The sequence below is a fragment of the Homo sapiens genome, chromosome 8 (assembly GCF_000001405.40).
Source record: "Homo sapiens chromosome 8, GRCh38.p14 Primary Assembly".
NCBI lineage: Eukaryota > Metazoa > Chordata > Mammalia > Primates > Hominidae > Homo > Homo sapiens.
Window position 1 is genome coordinate 97,939,405 of NC_000008.11, and position 18,446 is coordinate 97,957,850.

General features: G+C 43.4%; 1 protein-coding gene and 1 long non-coding RNA gene across 6 annotated transcripts in view, besides 2 other annotated features; both read left to right on the forward strand.

Moving 5' to 3' along the window:
* Positions 1-18,446, forward strand: part of MATN2 (matrilin 2) — a 167,661-nt gene that overhangs the window by 70,341 nt on the left and 78,874 nt on the right. For all 4 annotated transcript variants that reach the window (NM_002380.5, NM_030583.4, XM_005250920.3 and 1 more), the window contains exon 4: positions 2,373-2,495. In NM_002380.5, coding sequence (NP_002371.3) covers positions 2,373-2,495 — 123 coding nt within the window. The remainder of the gene's footprint in view (positions 1-2,372; positions 2,496-18,446) is intronic.
* On the forward strand, positions 10,303-12,898 carry LOC124901987 (uncharacterized). 2 transcript variants are annotated; one of them, XR_007061022.1, is made up of 2 exons: positions 10,303-11,872; positions 12,580-12,898. It is a non-coding gene; the product is annotated as an uncharacterized LOC124901987 (long non-coding RNA). The 2 variants fall into 2 exon arrangements; XR_007061021.1 differs by having other exon boundaries at positions 10,303-11,571.
* Positions 11,129-11,680: an enhancer, noted in NCBI's record as "H3K4me1 hESC enhancer chr8:98962761-98963312 (GRCh37/hg19 assembly coordinates)". NCBI's record gives its function as "activates a minimal SCP1, AML or CMV promoter by ChIP-STARR-seq in primed H9 embryonic stem cells {active_cell/tissue: H9 hESC(primed)}" and the evidence as "EXISTENCE:reporter gene assay evidence [ECO:0000049][PMID:30033119]".
* Positions 11,681-12,231: an enhancer, noted in NCBI's record as "H3K4me1 hESC enhancer chr8:98963313-98963863 (GRCh37/hg19 assembly coordinates)". NCBI's record gives its function as "activates a minimal SCP1, AML or CMV promoter by ChIP-STARR-seq in primed H9 embryonic stem cells {active_cell/tissue: H9 hESC(primed)}" and the evidence as "EXISTENCE:reporter gene assay evidence [ECO:0000049][PMID:30033119]".

Consider the following 18,446-nt stretch of genomic DNA (forward strand, 5'->3'; position numbering starts at 1 on the left):
GCTAAGTAGACTGTGAAAAGGATGCTTGTTCACAGAATGAAAGCTGAAAAAGAAGGCAGAGTGGCTCCTTGTTCAACCTCAGCTGAGAACATCTGCACCAGGCAACACATTTTTTTGTAGTCTCAGCTACTTGGGAGGCTGAGGCTGAGGCAGGAGGATCACTGGAGCCCCGGAGATTGAGGCTGCAGCAAGCTGTGACTGTGCCACTGTACTCCAGCCTAGGTGACAGAGCAAGAGCCTGTCTCACAAAATAAACTAAATTTAGAGATATTTTAAATTGAGTGCTCATGCACTCTGAGCATGTCCACTAGTGACCGTGAAAACGCTGTGAGTATTGGTTTGGGCTTACAAATACATTTTAGTGAGTAGGCAAATTCACAAATATGGAATCTGTGAAGAATGAGGATCAACTGAACATGTCTTCACAGTTTGATATCTCTGAAACTGGGGTGCATTTTAGATTCCATGAAATACAGTACATGTATCAACATTGATAGAATCTGTGATTAACGTTGAGTGAAAACTGAGGTGAAGGTCAATGTATATAGGATGAACCTACAGATGTAAAATAAGACAAAATGCCACCATAATTCTCCTTTGCTATAAAATGGTTAGCAGGTATCTTCAGCATTCCCCAGGCACTATTCTCAACACTCTACCATCTCCATTAATTTAACCTTTTTGAGGTTCTTATGAGGTAGGTGCTATTTTTATTCTCATGTCTTATAAAGAAGTTAAGAAAATTGCACAAAGGGCTGGGTGTGGTGGCTCATGTCTGTGATCCTAACACTTTGGGAGGCTGATGTAGGAGAATCGCTTCAGCTCAGGAGTTTGAGACCAGCCTGGGCAACATAGTAAGACATCATCTCTATTTTTAAAAATGAGAAAACTTCTATTTTATTTAAAAATAATGATAACAATAAAAGAAACTTGTACAAGGTCACAAAAAAAGCTGTTTGTTTCACCCTGAAGTAAAAATGACTGATTGGATCTACAAACTTTCCTAGTGATATTTGTATCCTAACAGGAACCAAAACACAGACAATCAAACTCAGAACAGTACATTCTAAATTGTATTGTTGTGAAATGAAACAGCTTTACTTCCCTAGTTCATTTATTGCCCACCATATTTCTTACTCCAATGTAGAGACATAAACTTCAGATGGATTTAATCACAGCTGAGTTTTCACAAGCGCTGGATTAATGGAATTGTTCTAAGCTTTTGAGAGCTCCTTTTATTTTAGCTTCATAAAAATATATTTCTACATATAGACATCTTTTTTGTTTATGAGAACACTTGCATAACTTGTTATGTTTGTACTGTTGCTTGTTAATTTTAAATACAATCAAGTTACATTGAGTAAAGTCATAAATTAGGACATTAAAAAAAGAGAATTTTTATGAGCTACAGACAGACTTATGCAGGAACCAATGTACCAGAAAGCTGAGGTACTTCAAGAACTAAATGCAGAGGGCAGGCGTGGTGGCTTATGCCTGTAATCCCAGCACTTTGGGAGGCCAAACTGGGAGGATTGCTTGAGCCCAGGAGTTTGAGACCAGCCTGGGCAACATAGTGAAACCCTGTCTCTACAAAAAAAATTTTAAAAATTAGCCGGGCATGGTGGCACACGCCCATAGTCCCAGCTACTCAGGAAGCTGAGGTGGGAGGATGGCTTTAGCCCAGGAGTTTGAGGCTGCAGTGAGCCATGATTGTGCCACTGCTCTCCAGCCTGGAAGACAGAGCAAGACCTTGTCTCAAAAAAAAAAAAAAAAAAAAAAAAGAAAGAAAGAAAGAAAAGATGCTAAATAGGTATCTTAAATTGAGACATAAAGATTACAGAAACATGAAACGTGTGAGTGCATTTTTTACTCCAAAATTGTGTGTATACTTTTGCATATTAAAAATTTACGTTACTCTTGAAACATGATTTTGAGAAACTGTTGGTTCTTTAACACATTCTTGCTTATTTAATAGCTTTTCCTCCAGCCCCATTGCTGCTTCCTAAAAATCCACACTTAAGTCAAAGTCCCCTCTGATGCTGGCAAACTTTTCTGATTCCCCAGCCCACCACATGGGTATTATTAAGTTGAATTGGAAATTTCTTGCTTTTTTTTGTAGATCAAAACCAATCAAGTATCAGCAATTTCATATAGTTCAGCCTAACACTGTTTCTCTTTGATTTTCCATGGCCCTTTATCTGGCCCTGTCTTGTCCACCTTGGACTGTGAGCCCCCTTGAGGGTAGGGACTGCAGCTTATTTCTCTGAGTCCTGCCCAGAGGAGAGAGTAGGCACTGAATAAATGCTTGCTGGCTGGAATGGAGTGAGAAAGGGCATCACTGTTGACTTACCTTCCTGTGTCTTCCCTTTCAGCGGCCCATATGTGCAGCACCCTGGAGCATAACTGTGCCCACTTCTGCATCAACATCCCTGGCTCATACGTCTGCAGGTGCAAACAAGGCTACATTCTCAACTCGGATCAGACGACTTGCAGAAGTAAGATTGCTTTGCTGATGTATTTGTGGTTTCTTCCTATTCCCTCATCCTCTCCCTTCTTTTATCTGGGCTCATTTTATTCATCTGTGATGCCTCACCCACCCCAGTTATCATCCCTTGGGGACAGAAATAAAGTTTGGTATTTTCTGTTGACCCCATCACAGTGCCTAGTCCAGAGCTGGGCACATAGTAGGCCATCAGGAAGAGTTGGAGAGATAGGTAGAAGCACCATCTCAGAAATAGCCTCTTTGGATGTGTGAACTGGTCTCCTTTACTTCCAAGCTTGTTCTTTAGCAGGGACTACTGAAGAGCCTTTTCATCCACTGTCTTTATTAACTGTACCCTAAGGAACTGTTTCCATATTTTATTATCTTCTATAAAGTGTGGATTTAGGAAGAGTTGTTAACCTCGGCTGGGAGTGATTATTCAAGTTCTGTTTTAGAGGGGTGCAGGGACCCAGTTGCTTTGGTGTGGGACACTTTATAGGTGTCCTAGATTTTAAAAAGGGGGTAAACAGATGTAAGATATTAGAACTCGCATTCTCTTTTTTGGCTAAGTGCCAAAGACTAGACAGTATACTGATATTTGAGCCAGCACGAGGTAGTCTACCCCTTAAAGGACAGAATTACTCATACACTGAGTACCGTGTCCTTACTTTTTAAAGTTATGGATAAAGCCACTGAGTTAACCTACAGATGACCAGGCTACCAAAAACAAGTCATGAGGAAGACCAGCCCACATGGAAGCAAATAAAACTCAGCTAATCTGACACTTAGTTCGTGCAGTGCATAACTGTTGCCATGTGTAATTGTTGCAGTGTGTCATTGTTGCAATGTATAATTGTTGTTATACCTCATGGCAAGCAATTAAGCATTAATGGAAAGCAGTTTGCACAAATGGCTGTAATTAGTGTCACATTTATAGAGGCCAACCACCTTTTTCATGTTTCTTCTCACTGTTTTTCAGTTTTGGGGTTGAGTGGTTGGCTGGAGTTCTCCCTGCCCCTCAAGATTAGGTAACATCTACTTGACCCTCCGCTTCTGTGTGGCCTGTGGAAACCCAAAGCCCTCTGGACTCTGAATCGCAGGGGTGGGGTGGGCGGTATGTGTTCTTAGCCTCCTCTAAGACCCCAGGATCCCAAGTTGAGTGCAGCCTGAATCATCCTCATCTTCCAGTTGAAGATCTGACGCTTCCTCAAAATCCATAACAAAAACTCACTCCCACCGAATACTCATGGGTTTCATAGAGTTTCCTAAAGAACTGGGGGAGCCTGGGAAAGGTCATCTCACACACTGCTCAGCAAACAACCTAGAGATCTCTTTAGACACCCCCCTCTAGACACCTCCACCTCTTCAGGTGTTCTACCTCCCCACAACCATCCTCTGGAGGCACCCTTCCTCCTCTTCAGGCATCCTCCCCTCTGCCCCGGATGCTTCTCTGTCCCATCTCAGCTTCCCACCATCTTGCCCACTCCCTTCCTGCCCTTTCTCCTTCTCCTTCTCTGTCTCCTTCTCCTTCTCCTTCTCCTTCTCCTTCTCCTCCTCCTCCACCTCCTCCTCCTCCTCCTTCTTCTTCTTTTCCTTTGTTTTTTTAAGACAGGGTCTTGCTCTGTCGTCCAGGCTGTAGTGCAGTGGCACAATTATGGCTCACTGTACCCTCAACCTTCCGGGTTCAAGCAGTCCTCCCACCTCAGCCTCCTGAGTATCAGGGACCACAGCTGCATGCCACCATGCCTGGCTAATTTTTGTAGAGATGAGGTTGCTCAGGCTGCTCTCGAACTCCTGAGCTCAAGTGCTCCATCTGCCTCAACCCCCAAAGTGCTGAGATTTACAGGATTGAGCCGCTGTGCCTGGTGCCCTTCTCTTCTTAGGAGCACAAGGAATTCCTCTCCTTGTCTCATGTCCCACTGAGTGACTGGGATCTGGGAATCTGCTGATATTTATTTTCCGTGGGCTGGCCTAGCCAAGCCAGAGGAATTCTGACACCAGCAAATAAAAAATAAAGTGTTCTTTCCCTAATTTTATGAGCAAGGCCTTCCCCCACACAGCAGAGTTTGCCAGACCCCTGCCTGGTCCTGCCACAGGCCCTGATGTCCCCCAGATCTCAAGTACTGCTCTGGCCTTGGATTCCTCCTGCCTAGGGATGTGCCACAGGAGAATATGAAGCAGACCCTGCCTGGACTTCAGACAGACTGACCAGGGGGAGGGGCAGGGAGGTCCAGGCGGAGGAGGGCTAGGAGCTCAGGGCAGGCTTTCTCAAACTTCAGTGACTAAGAATGAGCCAGGAAACTGACTTCTGGGCTCACCCGCAGAGATGCAGAGTCAACAGGTCTGGATTTTCAATGAACCGACGAATGACTGCCACACTTTGAGATTCACTGGCCTCAGGCAGTGAGGGGTCCCAGGGAAGGGCTTAGCAGAGCTCTGCTGTCCCGTCTGACCCAGCTCTCCAGTCACCCTGAAGCAGTTAAACCATCTTAACCTTCAGCCAGACTTAGCTTAATAAATGTGCAGTGATAAAGAACAGCTCTCTCTCTTTCAGAAGGGGATAATACTAATAACTCTTTTGCTTTCCCAAAATTGGTGTACCAGGGGCCTTGGTGGAAGAACAAGGCCTTCACTGTCTGCAGATCTGGGCTTGAACCCGACCTTATCACTTACCAACTATGGCTGTCTCACTCTGAGCTGGTTATTTAAACTTCTTGACTCTCAGTTTCCTCGCCCATAAGATGGGACGGGTGGTAACAAATCAATACCTGTCTCACTGATTATGTCCTTGTTAGGCCCTGTTTTTGGTCTAGGGGACAGTTAAAAGCTGTGCCAAGTGAAGGCTGTGCCATCTACTGACCCCTGCTGATGAGCAGGGACCTGTGCCTGCCAACACTGAGAGAAACTCACAGTGGGCCTGGAGAGGAGGCATGTACTCCACTTCTGGAAGCTGTTTCCACTTAATTTCCATGTCCTGGGCGTAGCTGGATAATCTCCCAGATGAAAAGCCATGTGGGTGACACCTCCTCCCCAAAGCACCTCTTACTCTCTAAGAAGTGCTTGCCATTCATTCTTCCATACAATCATTGATTGGTTCATTTATTTTTTCATTTAACAATTGTTTTTGAGCATAAAAATGTGCCAGGCAGCATGCAAAGTACTGGAAATAAAATAGTGAATAACACAGCAATATTCTTTCTTTTTTGGAGCTCACATTTTTGCATGGGAGTGAATCAAATAAACAACCAGGGTAATTGCAACCAAAAGTGACTGCAATCCACGTCCACCTCAGTGTGCAACACATGAGGTCAAGCCTAACTATAGCCACTTGTTAGGTGTTTACCATGTGCCAGGAGCTTTCCTGAGTGTTTTATATCTGCTGTCTCATTTAATTCTCACAATGAGCTCTTAAAGTGGGTTTTATCACTCTCATTTTACAGATAAGCAAAATAAGGAACAAAAAGTTTAGACGATTTACCCAAGCTCACATGGCTAGCAATGTGATCAAACCAGAATCCAAATCCTGTTATGTCCTCACTCTTGGCCATCATTTGAGACTGTCCCATGACCCTAGAGGACCCCGACATGGCAGCAGGACAACCCTTCAATCAGAAAACCTTCTCCAAGCCGGGAAGACAGATAGGTTCCTCAGCCCACTAATCCAGGGGAGACTTAGAACTAATTCAGGACTAACATTCAACAGATTGTTACTTCCCCAAGTCCACTGCTAATTGCTGTGGTACTGTCATCACACAAAATAATAGTGGGAGGGCCTCTTCAGCAACTGCCTTCAAATACACACACACATACACACTATAGAAAAAAAAAAAAATATATATATATATATATAATCTCCCCACCATTGTATATTTGTAATTTGTGTGGAGAGGGAAAGCAGACACAGTTGATCCACACATTCTTTGAATGGTGATGGACCTTGGCTATTAGACTTCTGGCTTCCTCTCTTATGGAACTTCAGAATTCTGTCCCCTCCCAGTGTCCCAGAGGGGTGATGGTTCTTACAGAATCAGGTTATTACAAAACACCTGAATCCCATATTCAGACAGCTTGGATCAGCGGTTGAGCTGAAATCCTACTTGTCTATAATTTCCACTTTTATCCTATTTCTGCTATCTGAAGCCATATACCAAAAAGTTATTTCCTTATCCAAATAAATAGAGAAAGCCCTTCAATTATTATACAGTGTTATTCCCACACACTGACCCCATTCCTATCAATTTTCTCTTCTTCAGGGGAGAAACACATCTTTTGATGACCTAGTTTTGGGTCTCTTCACTGTCCAGGTAACCCTCTTCTGGGTGGATATTAGTTGTCTAAAAAGGGCCTTTCCATTCGAAGACTAGATCAAATGCATTAAAGAATTTTAGCTTCCATCACTTCTTGGCCTTTTGGCTAAGATCAAGGTGTAGAATTTTATCTTCCAAGTTGTGTCTATATGGGCAATTTTGAACATACTGGACCTCAACATTGTGGATTCCTTCTGCCTTTCAAAAAGTCTTCCCTGTCAAATACCATTATATGAGATATATGCAAGAGCATCAGCATAATACTAGAACAATGGAATTTTATGTTCCTTCCTTTTCCCATTTAAAAAAAATGGGGGGAAAGAAAACCTCATGAAGTGTGCCCGTCTTCACATGCTATTTCCCCTTATCCTTCCCCTTCCCAGAATTCCTGTCCTACTAAGAAAGAACTTTATCTTGTTTCTTTTTCTTGATATATTTTCAAAATAAGGAATTTTCCCTTTCTTCTGGAACATTTAATCTATCTGGAAGCTGATGATAATGCAGCATTTAGAAAACTCCATTTGGCAGAAAATGTAGACTTTCTTATCCAGCTTAAATTTTTTTTCTTCTCTCAAGAACGATACCAAATGCATTTTACTGCTTTCATTCTTTGGAAATGTTCCCAACATTATTTTTCCCAAGCTACATAAGTGATTTAATAGATTTATGTTAGAGTTTAAACAAGGAGCATGACCCAGAAAAACCACTGAATTATTAGAGAGAGATAACTATAACCAACATTCTTTGTGAATTTAGATGTGAAAATTCTTAAAAATTTAGCAAATAGAATTCAACAATATATAGAAAGAACAATACATCAAGACCAAATGGAGTTTATTCCAAGAATGCAAGTTTGGTTTAACATTCAAAAATCAATCAATATAATTAATCATAGTGGCGAGGTGTGGTGGCTCATGCCTGCAATCCTAGCACTTTGGGAGACTGAGTTGGGCGTATCACCTGAGGTCAGGAGTTTGAGACCAACCTAGCTAACATGGCAAAACCCTGTCTCTACTAAAAATACAAAAATTACCCTGGTGTGGTGGTGCATGCCTGTAATCCCAATTACTCAGGAGGCTGAGGCAGGAGAATCACTTGAACCTGGGAGGTGTAGGTTGTGAGCCAAGATTGCACCACTGCACTCCAGCAACAGAGCGAGACTCCGTCTCAAAACAACAACAACAACAAAAAGCCACTAAAACTAATAAATGAGTTTAGCAATGTTGCAAGATAAAAAGTCAATATACTTAAAAAATTACTTCATTGTATTTCTGTACACTGGCAACAAAAGTCAGAAATTGAGATTTTAAAATACCAGGTATAATGGCATCAAAAATATGTAAATTAGGGATAAATTTTAAAGATGTGTATGATTTACACATTGAAAAATATAAAAGATTTCTGAGATTAATTTAAAAAAAACCTAAATAAATGGAGAGATATACCCTATCATGGATTGGAAGACTTAATATGGCCAAGATGTCAATTCTTTCCAAATTGATCCATAGATTCAAAGCAATCCCCTTCAAAATCCTAGCAGACCTATTTTTTTAGAAATCGACAACTGATTTTAAAATATACATGAACATGCAAAAAAACTAGAATAGTCAAACCCAGTCAGTTCTCATTATTCCCAGTAGTTATCATCCATAAAATATCCATAAACACTAAATTGCAAATTCTGAATCATTGCTCCTAGATGAAATACAGAGTTGGGTTCCTGAGAGCTTCCAATCACAACATTCATCAATCAATACATAAACTTGTTTGATGTTCTGTTTAAACACACGTTTTTGAGTATATACTGTTAATTCATTAACATTGAAAGCTATCGTTCATATTTTGAATGAAGTACTTAGGAACAATAGACAGCAGATCAGCATTACTCTTGGGGGCCATTTTCAACAGCAAAATCTCCAACAAGAAGTACAAAAAGGCAAAAAATGTGGCACTGCATAGACCACAGAAAGGATGCTTGTTCATGGGATGAGAGCTGAAATAAGAAGACAGAACGTTGCCTTGTTTGACCTTACCTGGGAATATGTGTCCTGGGTGACTCAAATTTTTTGCCACTCTGTGTATGTCCATGAATGGCTGAGAAAGTGTCATGGGTATTGACTTGGGGTTACAAGCAAATTTTAGCAAGTAGGCAGATTCACAAATATGGAATCTGTGAATCATGCACATTAAACAAAGCTTTGAAAAAGATAAAGTTCATCTTTAAATTTTGTTTAAACTACCTGATTTCAAGACTAAGTATAAAACAACAGTAATCAAGACAGTGTGGCATTGGTATAAAGATGAACATATAGAGCAATGGAACAGAACAGAATCGAGAAATAACCCATATGTATGTGGTGAAATGATTTTTTGACGGAGTGGGAAGGCAATCCAATGAGGAAACAATAATGTCTTCAACAAATGGTGTTGCAGCAATTGAACTGCCATGTGCAAAAAAGCAAGCAAACAAACAAAAGGAACATAGATCTTGTCTTTACCTCATAACATGTATAAAAATTAATTGAAAATGTATTCTAAGCCTAAATGCAAGAGCAGACACTATTAAATACCATGATGAAATGGTAGAAGAAAAATCTTGATGACCTCAGGTTGGCAAAGATTTCTTAAATAGTACACAAAAAGCTACAAAACATAAAAGAAAAAAATCAATATATTTAATCACAATGAAAACATTTGCTCTTCAGTACTCTGCTACTAAAATGAAAGGGCAAGCCACAGATTGGAATAAAACATTTGCAAAACATATGTCCAACAAAGGACTTTAGAATATAAGGAATTCTTAGCTCAGTACCAAGTACCAAGTATTCAGTACCAAGAAGACAAACACCACCATAAAAATGGGCAAAATATTTGAACAGACACTAAACCATGGAAGACATATGGGTAGTGAAGAAGCACATGAAGAGATGCTCAATGTTATCAGACAGGAGATATCACTATACCTCCACTAGAATGGATTTTTTTTTTTTTTTTGAGACAGAGTCTTGCTCTGTCGCCCAGGCTGGAGTGCAGTGGCGTGATCTCAGCTCACTGCAACCTCTGCCTCCTGGGCCAAGCAATTCCCCTGCCTCAACCTCCAAGTAGCTGGATCTACAGGCACGCACCACCAAGCCTGGCTAATTTTTTTTTTGTATTTACTAGTAGAGATGGGGTTTCACCATGTTGGCCAGGCTGGTCTTGAACTTCTGAACTCAGATCATCTGTCCACCTCAGCCTCCCAAAGTGCTGGGATTACAGTCTTGAGCCACTGTGCCTGACCAGAGTGGATAAATTTTAAAAGATTGACTATACCATGTGTTCGCAAAATTGGGAACTGGAATGCTCATACATCACCAGTGGTCATGTAAAATGGTTCAGCCACTCTGGAAAACAGCTTAGCGGTTTCTTACAAAGTTAGATATTTACCTATCATGTGACCCAGCCATTCCACTTTTAAGTATTTACTCAAAAGAAATAAAAGTTTATGTCTAAAAAAAGATTTGAACACAAATGTTCACATCAGCTTTACTTGTAATAGCCCCAAACTGAAAACAACTCACATGTTGATTAACAGATGAATGGGTGATACACTGCAATACACGCATCCTGTATAATACTCCTCTGCAGTGAAAAGAATGCACTATTGAAACATGCAGTAGCCTGGATGCATCTCCAAATCACTATGCTGAATGAAAGAAACCAGACCCAAAAAAACCAGAACATACCATGTGGTTCCATTTGTATAAAATTTTTGGAAATGGTGCCTACTCAGTAATGACAGAGAGCAGATTAGTGGGTGCTTGGGGCCAAGGAGTGGGGAGCAGCAGGGAGAGGGATTACAAAGCAGCATCAGGAAACTTGGGGGGGTGATGACTATGCTCATTATCTTGATTGTGGTGATGATATATTGATAAGCCCGATTTATCAAACTGTACACTTGAAGTATGTACAGTTTATTGTATGCCAGTTGTCACTCAATAAAGCTGACATTCATTAATCAGAACAAGGTTTCGGAAGTAAGTAGTGGCGCTGGACCAGACTGCCTTTCTGGAATAGTTTGTTTGTGGCATCAGTGGAGGATGAGAGAAGGAATGTAAGCAGGGATAAAGTATGGAGCAATTTGATTCTCAAGCTAAGTTCCAACAGTGTCCTTTGTTGAGTAGGGGAATTGAACACAGGGTGTCAAGGGCAAAACCAGGTCATTTTAGTAAATTGGGGCTGGCAATAATGTATGTGCTGTATTAGAGGTAGAGAGTGGGGCAGGGATGCCTTCACTCATCCGCTCATTCATTCAATACCTGTGGATTCCCCTCTATGGGCCTGATACTCTTATGGGGTATTTTTCTTACATATTAGGGACCCAAGAAACATTCAGATCTTGGCTTCCCTTTTACCCCCCACACAGAGAGCAGAATATAAAAGATGGAATCAGAGAACAATTCTAATCAGTCCAGTCAATTCAGTGTATGTTTCTTACGCCCGCAGAATTAAGTAGGAGACCACGGCAACCATCCCAGCCCCAGGGAGGAGTTTATGACATCAGATAGGTGATGGCTGGTGGGTTCAGAGTAATTAAGACTGATGGATAACTGCAGAGAGGAAATCTAGTTTTCAGGGCAAACAGATGCGTCCAAGAGAGAGCCCACACACGTGGTTGGATGCAGCTGGAGATGGAGAATTCCAGTTCAAGGAAAAGGCCTGGGCAGTATGTGTTTGGTGGTGGTCGTTGACCCTGAAAATAGATGGAATCTTGGAGGGAGAAAGCGAGTGTGGAAAGTGAAGGTCAGGTTGTGAGCTCTGGGGCAGCCCACAGTCAGAGGGTGGGTCAAAGCTAGAAGGGCGAGCAGGCCGCACGCACACACACGCAAAGCAGCTGCCTTCACTGACAATCAATGGCAGCCACCTGAGCTGTGGCTGAGCTGCTGTGAGCCGAAGCAGTGGGCTTGCTAAATGCCGTCATCCAGCTTCCCCTTGACCCTGGCTGTCAGGCCTGGGTCTGGGAGCTTAGGGATCATTTTGTGCAGTCTGCTCACCCTCTGGCTGTGCCAGGGCACAGGATTTTCTACAAAAGAAGGAATCTGGGGTGAGTAGAGCCCCATGGGAGAACTGAGCTGACTAAATGTGAGTGGAGAAATGCCAATTATGAAAAAAATGTACATATCAGGGGAACATGAGCTTGAACCTTGCACAGCTTTTCCTCCGCTTGGCTGTTTTTATGAGGACCCAGGCAAGTGGTTCTCAAAGTGTGGTCCCCCCGGAAAACAATATCAGCTTTGCCCGGAACTTACTAGAAATGCAGGTTCCCAGGCTTACCCTAGACCCACTGAATCAGGACCTCTGGAACTGGGGCCCAGGAATGTGGGTTTTCCCAAGCCCTCCAGGGGATGTCGATGTACGCTGCAGTTTAAGGACTACTGACTTAGATGTTTTAAATAAGATCTCTCCCTGGCAGCATCCACTCAAAAGGGGGTTTATATTAAGAACATAATGTGACAACGGTTTGGAAATTGAAAAGCACTCTACAGGAGTAGGACATTATTTTTGTTTGTTTATTTATTATTTTTGTCAACCTCATTCACTCAGATTTCACTGTATTTTAGAACTTGTTTCAGAGATTCCCCCCTTCCTCCTTTTCCCTTCCCCGAGGAAAACCAAAATCTTGTTAGTGAACAGGAGAATTGATTGAAAAAAAATTCAACTGCTGCGGGAAAGGAGGAGACTAGGCACAGCTGGAGTTTGCCTGAAAGGATAATTTTCTCAGTGACATTGGGTTTGTTTTGTTTCTTTCAGTGTAGAAGCACGAGGCTGATGACTCATTTACCATTGGAAGACTTCAAATCCAAACTGCAGTTGTCAAAATAAGATTAGTGCTTTCAGACATGATGAAAGAGAGGGCATGGTCTCGAAAAGGCAAGCTTGGGTTTTGCCTGCATTTGTGGAGCCCTAACTCATAGCAAGCTTTCCTGTGGGAGTGGGCAGAGACCCCATCGTTTACCCAGTTGAGTGAAATGGCAGCCCTAATAACCCACTTCTCCTTCTCTCTTGCTGTGATAAACAATTTCTGATTTCTACATCTCAGATTAAATAACAGCAAGAGCTATAAAAAGTAGAGGGTGTCTCCTAAAGGTGTTCATTTGCTTTAACTCCAAAGATGAGATTAAACTGTCATTGGTGTCAACAGCGTGCAGTGCAGCTTGTCTAAAATTCTGAAACGTTGGTGAAACCCTTTGATTTAGCCCTGGATGATGGCCATAGCCTTTGCCCCATGCTCCGTGCTCCCCCCTCAGTTCTGCCTCCTTCCGGTGTAAGCAGATGAAAGTTTCCAAGTTCTCTGGACTGAGATGCAGGCGCCAGGGTTTCTAAAGGAAGGCACTTACATCTAGGGTGCATGGGAGTCTCTGGGGAAACTGGTTGGGTTTGAGCACAGCTTTGGGGCTCTTGGCAGCAAATCTTCACTAATTAGTTTCACCTGGGAAGACTGAGTTATCCCTCTTAAAATTCTCCAGGCACTGAAACAAGCGAGCAGATTTTGCTGACTGTCAGATACATGCTAATGGTAGCTCCCTGGCAAGGTGTATCTCAAATTTGGCCAGGTCTTTTTGTTATGAAATTCCAAATTACCTACTTTGCTGTATCACTTCAATTTAGCATAGAACTCAAAAACCAAACTTGGCCAGAGATAAATTTTAGAACGTTAGGATCTAATATTCATGTTTGTAGGGATTTTTTTTTTTTTTTTTTTTTTTTGAGACAGGATCTCGCTCTGTCTCCCAGGCTGGAGTGCAGTGGCGCAATCATAGCTTACTGCGACCTGGAACTCCCTGGCTGAAATGATCTTCCTACCTCAGCCTCCCTAGTAGCTGGGACTACAGGTGTGTGCCACTGTGCCTGGCTAATTTTTTAATTTTCTGTAGAGACAAGATGTCGTTCTGTTGCCCAGGCTGGTCTTGATCCTCCTGCGTTGGCCTCCCAAAGTGCTGGGATTATAGGTGTGACCCATCGTGCCGGCCCATGTTTGCAGCTTTTATAGGTACCCAATAAAGTGAAACTATTAGAATTGGGATGTGAGCAAAATTTGGTTGAAGTTCAACTCTCTGCCATGCTTAAATAGGTATGTGCCACTGACACTTTTCTTTTCCCCCTTGATTTAGGAAAGGAGAAGGATGCTAACATTTGTTGAATACTTACTGTCAGCCCTGCACTTCGGGAGGCCAGGGCGGGTAGATCGCTTGAGCTCATGAGTTCAAGACCAGCCTGTCCAACACGGTGAAACCCTGTCTCTACAAATAATACAAAAGTTAGCTGGTATTTTGCTGAGCGTGGTGGCTCACGCCTGTAATCCCAGCACTTTGGGAGGCCAAGGCGGGCAGATCACCTGAGGTCAGGAGTTCGAGATCAGCCTGGGCAACACGGTGAAACCCTGTCTCTACTTAAAATACAAAATTAGGCGGGCATGGTGGCACATGCCTGTAATCCCAGCTACTCAGCATGAGTACTGAGGCATGAGAATCGCTTGAACCTAGGAGGCGGAGAATGCGGTGAGCCAAGATAGCGCCATTGCACTCCAGCCTGGGCAACAAGAGTAAATCTCCATCTCACCAAAAAAAAAAAAAAAAAAGTTAGCTGGGTATGGTGGTGCGTACCTTTAGTCCCAGCTACTCGGGAGGCTGAGGTGGAAGGATTGCTTGAGCTCGGGAAGCAGAGGTTGCAGTGAGCCTAGATTGTGCCATTGCACTCTAGCCTGGGTGACAGAGCCAGACCTTGTCTCAAAAAAATTAAAAATAAAAAAATAAAATAAAAATATCTTCTGTGAGACAGATGCTTTGCCCATCTAGATTATCTCACTCAACCCTACAAATAAGATATTTAACCTTTTTATGAAAACTGAATCTCTCAAAAGTCCCTTACTTGAAGTCGTTACCCAGCTGGGGCCAAGTCTGGCTCCAAAGTCGATATTCTTTTCACCTGCCTGCCTCACCCCTACCCTTTCTGAGGAGACGTAACTGACATCCTGCCCTCCCCCAGTGGTGGCTCTCTTCATCATTTTTCATGTCACCTCTTTCAGGTCCAAATAAAAATTTGGAGAAGGTCAAAATCATCTTTTCAGTTCACACTGTTAAAAATGGAAGCCTGCTCTCTCACCACGCTCAACTCCCCTTTCCTGCTTATAACGTATCACAGATTTTTACCTATTTGCTTTGTTTACTATCAATCTTCTATCAGGTATGTGCTGCTAAATGTTTAACAATCAGGTCTCCAGGAGACAAAAGCTCTGATTTGTAGATTTGCCAATTTCCATGGTGTAAATACTCCCACCGTGGACATTTCAAGCTACCAACGTGGCCTCTTTGAATGCAGCTGTGGGAAGAGATGCACATCATTGTGTGAGTCAGTACGAGCTGCCTCTAGCACATGACTGGCCCCTCACTGGACCATCAGCTCTATAAGGGTAGGAATTTTTCTGTTGTTGTCCACTGATTCACTGTTGTTTTCCCAGCACTCCGAACCGTTCCATCGTTGAATAGATTTATTAATTCAGTCATCCACAAATCAGCCACATGGCAGATGCTAGATATTTGAACTAGCATGCTGAGCAAGACAAGCACTGTGGCTGCCCTATGTGGCAGGTGAAATAGACATGAAATAATTAGTTGCAAATTAAGCATTAAATTATAATTGTGTTGAGGATTACAAATGGAAACTCTGAGGGAGGACTTCACCCCTAGTGGCAGGTCAGAGCTTCCTGAGAAAGCAGACTTTCAGGTGAGTACTAAAGGAGGTATGAGAGTTAGGTAGGGGAAAAGGAGGTCAGGAAGAGGCTTGAGCATTCTAGGCAGAAGGAATGACCTTTGCAAAGGTCCCAAGACATGAAGAAGCTTGATTTGAAAATGGAGAGGGCCATGTAAATGGAGCAGAGAAAATAAGAGGAGGCTTGAGATAAGACTGGAGAGGTGAAGGGGTGGGTCTTGTAGCCCCCTTGACCATCACATTAGAGTTTTTGGACTCCATCCTAAAGCAGTGATAAGCCATTAAGGGTTTTAAGCAGAAGAGAGGCAGGAGCAGATTACTCTGGCTACAGGAGGATGCTAGGCTGGGATGAATACAGGAAAACCAGTTAAGAGGTTGCCACGGCTGTTCAGCCAACAGATGATAGTGGCTCCATGGTGGCAGGGGAGATGAAGAGAAGTAAATCCAGGATTGACTGGGTCTGAGGGGTACAGGAGAGGGAGGAATCCCATGACTTTCAAGTTTCTGTTCCCATCTTCGACCCCAGGGTAAAAGTTAGCTATTCTAAAAATTCATCTTTGCTAAAGAGAAATTAAAGAATACTTCAGAATCATCCCCAGCTGTCCCATTTCTGCCCAGTGACATTTATTAATTGAGACAGAGCTCTAGGCTGCCCAGCAAGGGAGGCTGTCAAGTCAACAATAGATGGCTACTAAGCACCAACTGTGTGAAGTGCATGGCATTATACAGGCACCGTAAGGAACACCAAGACTTAGAGACATGGCTCTGTCCTTCACAGAGCTTACAAGAGTAGGTAAGAGAGATGAGTTAGGAACACCTGACAACCCTGTGCTTGTGTCACATGAGCATGAGTTCATTCATCCATTCAACAAGTACTTGTTGAGCAAGGACAAAGTGCCAGGCACTGTGCTAGATACCGGGATGCAGTGGATAGCAGGGCACACAGGTTCCCTAACTGTCATGACAGCTTTTCTGGTGTCCATAGCTGGGGGCTGGCTCTGAGATGTCATTGTGTTCTTGATGCAGGACAAGTGAGCCCCAAAGTGGGGCTTAGCCCATGAGGGTTCTTGGCTTTATCCAGGAGAGAATTCAAGGGCAAGCAGAGGTAGATGTAAACAGCTTTATTGAAGAGACGGTGTTACAGCCCTGGCAGTGTTACGCCTCCGTGACTGCTCCTGCAGAGCAGGGCTATCCTTATAGGCAGAGAGTAGGTAGTAGCTCAGGGCAGTTTTACAGTCATATTTATACCCACTTTTTTTTTTTTGAGATGGAGTTTCCCAGGCTGGAGTGCAGTGGCGCGATCTCAGCTCACTGCAACATCTGCCTCCTAGGTTCAAGTGATTCTCCTGCCTCAGCCTCCCAAGTAACTGGGATTACAGGCACCTGCCACCACATCTGGCTAATTTTGTATTTTTAATAGAGATGGGGTTTCACCATGTTGGCCAGGCTGCTCTTGAACTCTTGACCTCACATGATCCACCTGCCTCGGTCTCCGAAAATGCTGGGATTATGGGTGTGATCCCAGTGGCCTATACCCACTTTTAACTGCATGCAGATTAAGAGGCAGTTTATGCAGGAATTTCTAGGGAAGGGATAGTAGCTCTTGGTTTGTCAGGTCATTGACACGGAGGAGGTGGTTACTCCCAGGTGTTGCCATGGCAATGGTAAACTGACATGTCACACTGGTGGGTGTGTCTTATGGAAAGCTGCTTCTGCCCCAGCCCTCAATTTGATCCTGTGTCCAAGCCCTGCCTCTGGAGTTAAGCTCTGCCTCTGGAGTTGAGTCCTGCCTCCTACCTCACTCTGAGCCCTCTTCTGGTGTGTGAATACCTCTTGCTGAGGATGAGGAGAGGCAGAGAGACTTGGAGAGAATTTTGTTCCCATCTCAGTCATCTTCTGAGGACCCCACATCTAATGGAGGAGGGTATTCTTAGGACTTTAGGGCCATTCCTCCTGGGAGGCAGGGCATCTGGGCCTTTTTCATTGTTCATTCAGCAAATGAACTCTTATGGAGACCAAATACATGTGCTAGGACACTGTGCTAGACTCTGGAGAGTCAAAACTGACCCTCTTATAATGGGGCAGATAGCCGTGATCAAGTCCTTCCAATACCATGGGATCAGTGCCGAAATGCTAGAGCGGAGCCATGTCTATAGTGCTGTGGGGGCCCAGGGGAAGAAGCCTTAACTCCAGCCAACTTGAAGGAGGCTTCCCACAGGAGGTGACATTTGACTGGGGTTGTGAGCCATTCATGGGGGTCACCAGGTGGAGAAGGTGGAAGGCTGTGCCGGGGCAGGGGGAGCTCTGGACACAGTGCTTCTTATCCTTCAGTGAAATCCTCCTGGCCTCAGAGAGAAAGAAGGGCTGTTTTTCAAAAGCATAAGGAATCATCCAAAAAACATCTGTATTTGTTTCAAAAGGAAATGGCCACTGCCAGAAAAACAGCAAAGTTGTTTTGTCAGAACCCAGTCTGTATTTATTCCTTTGTCTTTGTTTAATTAGATTAATCCCTGAATGGTTTCCCTTGGGTCGGTACAAATCGCTCGTGGCCATAAATCCCCAACAATTCTAAAAACAGTAAGAAAGGACAATCCGCATGAAGCCAACTGGCAAGCTTGCTGTTTGTGGGACAGTTCTGGGATGCGAGCAGTAATCTTGCACCCGCACATAGGTGTTTGGGGTTCTTTTAGCCTCTTGGAGAGGGGAGCAAGGACAACAATCACTCAGATTTGTTTAGAAGAGGAAAGCTGAACCGTAGGGTCTCATCATTAAAGGGGGAGACTGACTCCTGGATCTGGGCACCTTCCCCAGGGAGGATTGTGGGGACTTTTTATCTGTTAGGTTCAATGACATTCAGCCTGGCTGCACACTGGGGCTACCTGGGAGCTTTGACAAACACCACTGCCCAA